Source organism: Homo sapiens, chromosome 6 (genome assembly GCF_000001405.40).
Source record: "Homo sapiens chromosome 6, GRCh38.p14 Primary Assembly".
Taxonomy (NCBI): Eukaryota; Metazoa; Chordata; class Mammalia; order Primates; family Hominidae; genus Homo; species Homo sapiens.
The window spans coordinates 18473781-18484604 of NC_000006.12; positions in this window are offsets into that span (position 1 = coordinate 18473781).

Here is a 10824-nt window from a genome sequence, read left to right on the forward strand (position 1 = left end):
GCCAGATGCTGTAGATGTTTTAAACTAGCATAGCCATGCTTTTGACTAGAAATGAAAGACTGGAGGGAAGTTTGATAGCTCTCCTAGTCTCTTGTGGACAAGTTACAATTTCTCTTGGCTTCGGTTGCCTCATCTAGAAAATTAGGAAGTAACTGTTTTCTAGGTTCAGTACAAACCTAACATTTTGACTAAGATGGAAAAAACCTCCAGCCCCCTCTGTGAGCTCTATATGCATGAAACTAGTTAGCTCAAGGGAAATTCTCCTTCTTAGACAAAGTAATCCTCAGAAGCAGCTTCCAGATGCTGTTATGGATAATGCCAGAAGCATATGAAATATATTGCCAATTTACTTAAAATGAGCAAATTCAAAGAGTAGTGGTTGAACCTCATGGTTTATCTACAGCTCTTGGTGGCTAAAAAGACCTATAATCAAAGTTGCTTGGGGAATTTCCAGGGACATGTTTCTTCTAGTACCTATACAAAAAATATCAGGACCTCACTCTCCTTATTTGAAGCACACCATGGATTATTATGAGTGTGTTAGTCTAAGGGGCTTGTTATTAATTTTTTTCAGTATACATTGTATTTTCTGCAAATTGAGTTAAATTTAAGGTATATATATTGATAGCATATAGGATAGTATATATGCATGTATGTTTGTGTGAATGAGAAGATAAATAGGCACATCGACTTTGTTAACAAAATTTTTATTCAGTCTTTAATGAATTCGATTTTCAAAAGTAGAACACAAAACTACTTGTGAACTTTGAAAAACGGTAAATAAAGAAATAAGTTAATTAAAAAAACAAGTTAATTAAATATTCAAAGAATGCTTTAAAAGTTTTAAGAGTGGTCATACTAAAACTCAGTCCTCATATTTACATCTGATATCACAAGTGTGTCATAGCCAAGGAAGTAAAATAAGAACTTGTGGTGGGGCATGGTGGCTCACGCCTGTAATCCCAGCACTTTGGGAGGCCGAGGTGGGCGGATCACTAGGTCAGGAGATCGAGACCATCCTAGCTAACACGGTGAAACCCCATCGCTACTAAAAATACAAAAAAGTTAGCAGAGCGTGGTGGTGGGCGCCTGTAGTCCCAGCTACCTGGGAGGCTGAGGTGGGAGAATGGCATGAACCCGGGAGGCGGAGCTTGCAGTGAGCCGAGATCGCACCACCGCACTCCAGCCTGGGTGTCAGAGCGGGACTTCGTCTCAGAAAAAAAAAAAAAAAAAAAAAAAAAAAACTTGAAAAAAATCTTCAGGTTTAATTTCTTTTACCTACCTTAAGGAAAACAAAAATGTGTGTTGATTGCACCTTAAAATGAAAATGATAAAAATAAGTGGTTGTATTCTTCTCCCACTCCCCATTCATAATCTGCAGGGTATTTCTCAAACAATAAATATCCTCAACTGGTGTAAGAATGTTAATTTACTACTGGAGGGAACAGAAGATGACCTGGAAGCATTGTCCCAAGCTAACTGCTGAGGGCTAGACACTTATTTGAGGTCTCTGGTTTTATTTTTTAATTTTATTGTTCATTTAAACATTCATTAAAAATTATAACCTCCATACTATTTTGATTTTAATTAAGTAATTTTGTTTGTAGAGACAGGGTCTTGCTTTGTTGCCCAGGCTGGAGTACAGGGGCACGATCAGGACTCACTGTAGCCTCAAACTCCTGGGCTCAAGCAGCTTCCCACCTCGGCCTCCCAAAGTGCTGGGATTACAGGTGTGAACCACCACAACTGGCCTGATTTTATTTATTTTTATTTTTGAGACAAGGTCTTGCTCTGTCGGCCAGTCTGGAGTGCAGTGGCGTGATGATCTCGGCTCACTGCAGCCTTGACCTCCTGGGTTCAAGTGATCCTCCCACCTCAGCCTCTTGAGTAGCTGGGACTACGGTGCATGCCACCACACCCCGCTAATTTTTTAATTTTTTTGTAAAGACAGAGTTTCACCATGTTGCCCAGATTGGTCTTAAACTCCCGAGCTCAGGCAATCCTCCTGCCTCAGCCTCCCAAAATCCTGGAATTACAGGTGTGAGCCACCAGACCTGGCCTGATTTCATTTTAAAGATTACATTTTAAATTATTGAAGTAAGATTAACTTCTTCTTTTTTCTTTTTTTTTTTTTTTGAAGACAGAGTCTTGCTCTGTCACCCAGGCTGGAGTGCAGTGGCACGATCTCGGCTCACTGCAACCTCCACCTCCTGAGTTCAAGTGATTCTCCTGTCTTAGCCACCCGAGTAGCTGGGACTACAGGCGCACACCACCACACCTGGCTAATTTTTGTATTTTTTAGTGGAGATAGGATTTCACCATATTGGTCAGGCTGGTCTCGAGCTCCTGACCTTAGGTAATCCACCCGCCTCGGCCCCCCAAAGTGCTGGGATTACAGGTGTGAACCACTGTCCCTGGCCAAAATTAACTTCTTAAAGATGCTTTATCTTTGTCTTGTATCCTCCAGTACCCCACAATACCCTGGGGTGTTACATACACCTGTTTGAGAAGCATGAGCAAGTCTACTAGGTTATTTTAATCACCAAACATATATTGAATGCCTTCTTTGTACAAACAAATGTGTCTCAATTAGTTGTTTCAAGTGGCTTAGTTAGGTTTAGGAGAAAGAATACGTTGGTCTACAGAAAAAGGAATGACTGCATTGGGTCATGCCTGGTACATGCCAGGTGATTGGTGTAGACAGGTGCCATGAACCTGTGGAGAAGGAGTGAGATTGTTGGAACTTTTCAATTCACATTTCATGGAGATGATGCTGATCAGGGTGTTGAGAGACAGGATTGTGATCAGCAAGGGCATTACAGAGAGGAGGCATGATGACAACAGTGTGACATGGGGAGTGAGAAATAACTGAATGAAACAGAAATAAAGCACCTGTGGGGTGCAGAAACAGAGAACCTTGAGTGCCAGGCTCCCGTGTTGACAGGTTCTTTTTGGGGTGAGGAGCCATTTCAGGGTTCTGTGCTTGAAGAGTGGGGTGAGGTGCAGTGACTCATGCCCATAAACCCAGCACTTTGGGGGGCTGACATGGGAGGATCACTTGAGCCCAGGAGTTCGAGACCAGCCTGGGCCACATGGCAAAACCTTGTCTCTACCAAAAGTTACAAAAATTAGCCAGGTGTGGTGGCATGCACCTGTGGTCCCAGCTACCTGGAAGGTTAAGGTGGGATGACCACCTGAGCCTTGGGAGGTCAAGGCTGCAGTGAGCCGTGATGGTGCCACTGCACTCCAGCCTGGGCAACAGAGTGAGACCCTGTCTCAAAAAAAAAAAAAAAAAAAAGGTATGTGCAAAGCTACATTTTAGCAGGTTAATCTGACAACAGTCTGTTGGTTAAATTGCAAGGAGAGAAGCTGGAAGTGGCGTGGCCAGTTTGAGGACAGTACTACAATAGTCCAGGTATCATTTAATGAGAGCCTGATCCAGGTTGGTGTCTGCAGGGAATGTCAGGGGAAAGCAAATGAGAAAGATCTTACATAAAACAAAACCAAACCCAATAACACTTTGGTAACTATAGCATCCACCAAACTAGTGCTTTAAAAAAGTTTTCCATTGTAATGTTGTTTTGTACTCGAACATGTTACTGTATTGAATATTAAAACCTCCATAAAATTGCTATCAGTCTTTACTCAGAGCCAGCTTAGAAAGGGTTTCATTAATGTGAGGCTTATTCATAGGACTCACCCTTAAATCATTTTTGGAACAAAGCAGGGAATAAATACAATTACTCATAGGGTATGCTGAAGGAGCAGCCAGATTGGATGCATAAAAACTGAGTGGGAGATGCATTTCTACTTTGTTTTATAACTTTAGTTAATTCTTATGAAAGTAGGGGGTACAGGAGAGTTTCTTAGAGTGATGAATTAATTCATTTAAGAAATGCTTTCAACCCAAATGCCTTCTCCTTTTTGGGGGAAAGCCAGGAGCACTGAAGTACATAACTAGCTTGACAAAGACGGGAAATGGAGTTGAGTTCTGAAAGTGCTTTGAGGAAGTTAATTGACCATGTTGTTTTCATTTACTTGGAAAGAAATTCTCTTTGAAAGTGCATGAGGTGTGTCTTCCCCTCTGCTGCCACTCTGTCTGCTCATAAGATAAACTGATGCAATCTGATGTTATATACTTCCATTTTGTATGTGAAGAACTAAAGCTTGTCACAAAACAACTTAATTATTCTGCTATAATTGATGATTAGCTTGTCCTTATTAGAATATTCTTTTGCCCTATGCCCATGGAAACTTTTTGCTCTCTGTAAGTCTGATAGAGTAGCTGTTAGAGCTCTGCTTAATGTGATTGAACCCAGAGACCTGGGAAGAGAGAGGAGGAACACTGTATTCTGGTCAAATTGGCCTTCTGTTAATCAATATCCATTACTTTAGGAGGGGAAAGAAAGGAGAAGCTGCCTGTCATATGAGAGACAAGCACGGCATTCAATGCAACAAAAAGTGTAAGAAAAGCTCAGCATCCCTAGGTTTCTTGTGTGTTGATCAGTTAACGCTTAGGGAGGATAAGTGAAACTTGGAGACATGCTTGAACAGTTTTCCCAAATTGTTCCATAAATGTTGGAAATGTTCCTCTATCAATTCTGTTAATACATACATGGGTTATATATATATATATATATATATATATATATATATATATATATATATATATATATGTGTGTTAAAACATGTGCATCACTTCTATATGCAAATGTTCCTCTATCCATTATGTTAATACTACGTGTTGTATTGAGAGGGTGAAAATTTTAAGAATTGAGTTGTGTAGAGGTCTTTAATAAGTAAAAACAAACTCTGAATCTCAGAATGGTGTTTTTATCTGGTTTCCTCACAGTTGTTTCTTCATTGCCAGATATTTGTCTATTTCTTAGCCTTTTCAGATAATGAGCTCTTAGATTTATTAATTTGATATTTGCTTTCTAATTCATTAATTTGGTCTTAATCTTTATTAATTTTTCTTCCTGCTTTTCTTGTGTTTTTTTATTGCCTTTTTTTAACTTCCTGAGTTGACTGCATCACTTATTTTCATTCTTCCTTGTTTTTTTAAAACTGAATTTTCCTTCCAGTATAATTTGATAGCCTTGAATAAATAATGTTATTATTGGTTTTTTCTGCAAAATAAGTAATCATTATGTTGATTTCTACTTTCATTTAACGATTGTTTTGGTTATGTAGGCTTTGGTTTTCAAGCATATTTTGTTTTTCCATAAAAAAAATGACAAATTTCTAATCTCATTCATTTTTGCATTGGAGTCTTGTTGCCTGTACAATCTCTACTTCTGGAAATTCACTGAGAATTTATTTGTGGAAAAAATTAGAAAATATTCCATAAGTATTTTCTGTGAAGGGCACAAAGTTTGACATATAAACATTGAATCTTGCTTATTAATTCTATTATACAATTCCATGTTGTCTTTGTTTACTATTAGCTTACTTTATCTACATGGAAAGAAGATGTTGGTCTCTCCATATACTCTCACTTTTATCGATTTCATTGTAGTTCTAGTGTTTCTTGCTTATGTGTCTTAAAATTATTTAATTTCAATCAAAATAACACTCACATTTTAACATATTAGGATATTTTATTAATACAAATTTAAGAAATGATAGGATAAAATAAAACAAGAGCCTCTGACCTCTTCTTTCTATTTTTAGTAGACCCCAGAAACCCCTTTTAATGATTTTGGTTTTGAGTTTATTTGGTGGTGTCTCTGCCTATCTAAATGGTATGTATACACCACAAATTCTTGCTTGGGAAATTCAAATTTGACATAACCACCGTATCAATTGATTTCTTGCCATGAGTTATGAGGATTTAACTCACTTATACACTCTCTCCTACCCTCCTGGCTCCTCCCAATGTTGTTACATCATTACTTTTCATTCCTTTCTTGGCCATATTTCCAGTCTTAGGAATTAAGACCTCCATTCCTCTTTCCATCAACTGTAGATAGCACCTCTTGACTCCGTACTTTATAAAATAAAGCTATGCCCATCTCTGTCCTTTTCTCTACCTCTCTTTCCATTCTCTCCCCATTTTAATTTGTAAAGTTTATCAATCGTACTTAAAAAAAATTTTTTAAACTAAAAACAGAAGAGGAAGTATCAGTATCTAGTACATATTAAAATGCTCATTAAGTATTTGCTGTTAATGTTATGTTTATTATTATGAACAGGGCAATGAAAATACTTTGTATGATACTATAATGGTAGATACAATAATATGTATCTCAAAACATATTATTGTATCTACCTATTGTCCAAACTTATAGAAGGTACAACAAGAGTGAACAGTAATGCCAACTATAGACATTGGGTAGTCATCATGTGTCAATGTAGGTGCATCATTTGTAACAAATATACAACTCTGATGGGAGTGTTGATAATGGGCCAGACTATGCATGCTTGAGAGCAGGGAGTATATAGAAAATCTCTATACCTTCTGATATGTTTTGGGTGTGTCCCCACCCAAATCTCACCTTGAATTGTAATAAACCCCATGTGTCAAGGGCAGGGCCAGGTGAGATAATTAAATCATGGGAGCATTTCCCCTGTACTGTTCTCCTGGTAGTGAATAAGTCTCGTGAGATCTGATGGTTTTATAAATGGGAGTTCCCCTGCCCAAGCTGTCTCTTGCCTGCTGCCATGTAAGACATGTCTTGCTTCCCCTTTACTTTCTGCCATGATTTTGAGGCCTCCCCAGCCTGCGGAACTGTGAATCAATTAAACTTCTTTCCTTTATAAGTTACCCAGTTCTGGATGTGTCTTTACTAGCAGCATGGGAACAAACTAATATACCTTCCTTTCAATTTTTCTGCGAACCTAAAGCTGCTTTGAAAAAAAAAGCCTTGAAAAATAGAAGTGAGTAGGGTATATAGTATAGTAACTGAGAACTCTGCCTCAAGAGCCAGACCATTCTTATTTTTGACCCACTCACTCATTACTGTCTGTGTGACCTTGGACAAGTTATGTAACCTTACTGCTTTATTCTTTTTCTATCTGTAAATTGGGAATAGGGGTTGTTTCTAAGTTCGATGTCTGGCACATAGTAAATGCTCATTGAGGGTTTGTTGTTTTTATTACTATCAATACATATCAAAGTAGATTGTATTTATTTATTTTTTATTTTTTTGAGATGGAATCTCCCTCTCTTGCCCAGGCTGGAGTGCAGTGGCATGATCTCAGCTCATTTCGACCTCTGCCTCCCAGGTGCAAGCTATTCTCCTGCCTCAGACTCCCAAGTAGCTGGGATTGCAGGTGCCTGCCACCATGCCTAGCTAATTTTTGTATTTTTTGTAGAGACAGGGTTTTGCCATGTTGGCCAGCTGGTCTCAAACTCCTGACCTCAGGTGATCCGCCCGCCTTGGCCTCCTAAATTGCTAGGATTACAGGAATGAGCCACTGCGCCTGGCCTTATTTTCTATCTTGTAATATAATTTGATCCTTTACACTTACATAGTCAACTGATTCTAAAAGGAAATATTTTCATTGTATGAACATTTAACTATACTCATTATAGAGTCAAGCACTCATTATAGAGTCAAGCTGTGTGATATGATTATGTTTCCTTAACTAGATTGTTATTTCTGACTCTCACTAATTGTTCAAAATGCTGTATTTTGGACCATGTCTTTGTTAAGAAGTTTTTTGTTTATCCTGGATTTTCTGATTGCCTTTTCCAATTGAGAAAAGAAACATTTATCTTTAGTATTAGATCATTATAATTTTTAAAATTCCTGATTATTCTATATTTGCTTGAAATTTATTTTTTGTTTCAGAATCCATTAAAGTGCTTTTTTTTTTTTTTTTCTTTTTGAGACATGGTCTCTCTCTGTCACCCAGGCTGGAGTGTAGTGGCATGATCTCAGCTCACTGCAATCTCAGCCTCCAGAGTAGCTGGGATTACAGGAGTGCACCACCACGCTCAGCTAATTTTTGTACTTTTAGTAGAGTCAAGGTTTCACCATGTTGGCCGGGCTGGTCTCAAACTCCTGGCCTAAAGTGATCTGTCCGCCTTGTCCTCCCAAAGTGCTGAGATTACAGGAGTGAGCTACCATGCCTGCCCAAGGTGCTGTTCTTATTGGTTAATTCCTTTTATATTGATACCCAAAATTTTTGTATAACTTTTTGCTTTTCTCTGAGTGTTGCGTATCTTTTTTTTTTTTTTTTTTTTTGCACTTGCGATTTTATAATGTATTCAGGCACTTCCCCTTCTCAAATTCTATCTAGTCAATGGTATTTTCCCTTTCCCCAGTGGCTTCCCGCCCAGAGCCCTCCTTCTTCCTGCCTCCATCTGTACCTCTATGGTCAGTTCCATAGCTGTCATGCTGAGACCTCCCTTCCCTGCTCCTGGTTCTGGTTGACTGTCCCCTGGATCCTGTCTTTCTTTCTTTCTTTTTTCTTGGTTTGTCCCCTTCCTTACTTTGCTGGAGTAAATCCTTAACTGAAATGTGTGTGGGAGGCAAGTGTTCTGAGTCCTTGCTTGTGTGAAAAATTTTTTTTTTTGTCTTCTTTCACATTTCATTAATTATTCAGTTAAGTATTGAATTTTAGACTGTATACTAAGAATTCTAAAGACATGAATTCTGTATCTTTCAATATCTAGTTTGTTTGCAGGGGATTTTCCTCTGTTCTTAACTTTCAAAGTAATGTTTATAGCTGTGAGCCCTTTTCCTTTATCCTGCTTATTAGCTGGTAAATCTTTTCAATTTGAAAACACAGTTTCTTTTTTTTTTTTTTTTTTGAAAACACAGTTTCTTAATAAGCCCTGGAAACCTCCTTTTATTATTTCTTTGCCTCCATTTTCTCTTTTTAAAAGCCCTATTAAATATTGAATTTTCCGAGTTGATCTTATGTGTCTCGCCATTTCGCTCCCATTTTCCATTTCTTTGTCATTTTGTTCTCCTTTATGACAGACTTCATCTATTGTTACCTTTTAGCCCTTCTATTTTATTGTGTATCTTAGTGATCCTGTTTTTAATCTCCAGGAGTTCTTTTTAATTTTCATATTCTCCTTTTCCATAGCATCCTGTTATAGATGCAATCTCTAATTTCTCTAAAGATATGAACAAGAATTTTACTTTTCAAAAAGGTTCTCCACAGTTCTTTTCTTTTGTATTTCAGGCTTCATTGAAATGTTTGATGTCTCTTGGTTGTCTGGTTATATTTAGAATGAGTGAATTGAATGGTCAGGAGCTCTGTGTAGACAGTTGGGTTCTATTGACTGAGAGACTTCTCTTTGAGCTGAGTGGACAGGGAATTTATGCCTTACACAGTAGCCCTCTGAGTGTCACAGTTAGGAGGGATTTTCTCTAATGCGCCAATACCCATGCTAATTGCCCTAGTTTCCTCCAGATATTTTATCGATTTTCTTTTGAAAAGACTATTTATTTATTTATTTATTTATTTATTTTTGGCCTAGGAATAAATGCCTTGTTTCAGCTTCTGTTGGAAGAAGAGAAGGAGGCAGATAGGAAGCTGTGGTTGGCTGTTCCTTGCATAGACCTTCAACAAATTCCCCTGTTTTCAGATCTGGTTCTCACTCTTTATCTCTGTTGTGTATGCTTGGAGTAGGAAGCCAAGTAAGTTAATTCCCTTCATTGCAGCAGCACCTTCCCCTCCTCGTTTGTATATAAAGCGGCTGCTTTCTTAGCTCTGCTTTATCCATTGGTCAATGTTTCTCCATCTGTGTTCTGTATTCCAACAATTTATTAAACTCTTTAATCCACTGATGGCATGATGTCATTATTCTGTATTTTTGGAGGTTTATACTTTTAAAAATTACTACTATAGTTATAATGAGGTATCAGAAAGAAAATAGAAACTTACATTTCTTCAGACCTACCATTCAGAAATGGAATTCTGTTTTATATAATTAAACATGCATGCTCTGTTGTTTGATGCAGGTATGTTCAGGACTGTCATACCTACATTTTACATTCTACCTTGTGCAAAAAGAAAATTACTTTCTTTTCTTTTCTTTTCTTTTTTTTTTTTTTTGAGATGGAGTTTTGCTCTTGTTGCCCAGGCTGGAGTGCAATGGCACAATCTCAGCTCACTGCAACCTCTGCCTCCTGGGTTCAAGTGATTATCCTGCCTCAGCCTCCTGAGTAGCTGGGATTAAAGGCATGCACCACTATGCCTGGCTAATTTTTTGTATTTTTAGTAGAGATTGGGTTCTAATTTTTTGTATTTTTAGTGGAGACGGGGTTTCACCATCTTGGCCAGGCTGATCTCGAACTCCTGACCTCAGGTGATCCACCTGCCTCAGCCTCCCAAAGTGCTGGGATTACAGGCGTGAGCCACCGTACCTGGCCAAGAAAATTACTTTCTTTGTCCCTTTTAATGCTTTTTGTCTTGAATTTAACTTTGATATTAATATTACAGCTTTCATTCTCTTTTTAACTGCTGTAATTTTTTAATCTTTAGCATTTATTTTATTTAATATTGTGAGCAGATAGTACAGAGTTCTCATAAGTCCTTTCTCCTTCATACGTGGTTTTCTCTATTATTAATCTTTAGAGTTTTCATGCTAAGATAAATATAACATCTGGTCAAGGCAGAGAATATGATTTCTCATAGATTACCAGGAACACTTCAGTAATAGTAGTCACAGGAAAGAATAAACCTAAACAAATCTAGAGAAAGAGTTCAATACTAATAATAGAAAAGACTTAATAGGTCCCTTAGCTCAGAGATACTTTAATTATAGAGGGTCCTGGAATCTCTATCACTGGAAAAATTTAAAGGATAAATATCAATATGGCTTTGGAAAGAAAAAATACATTACTTCTACAATTAACTTGT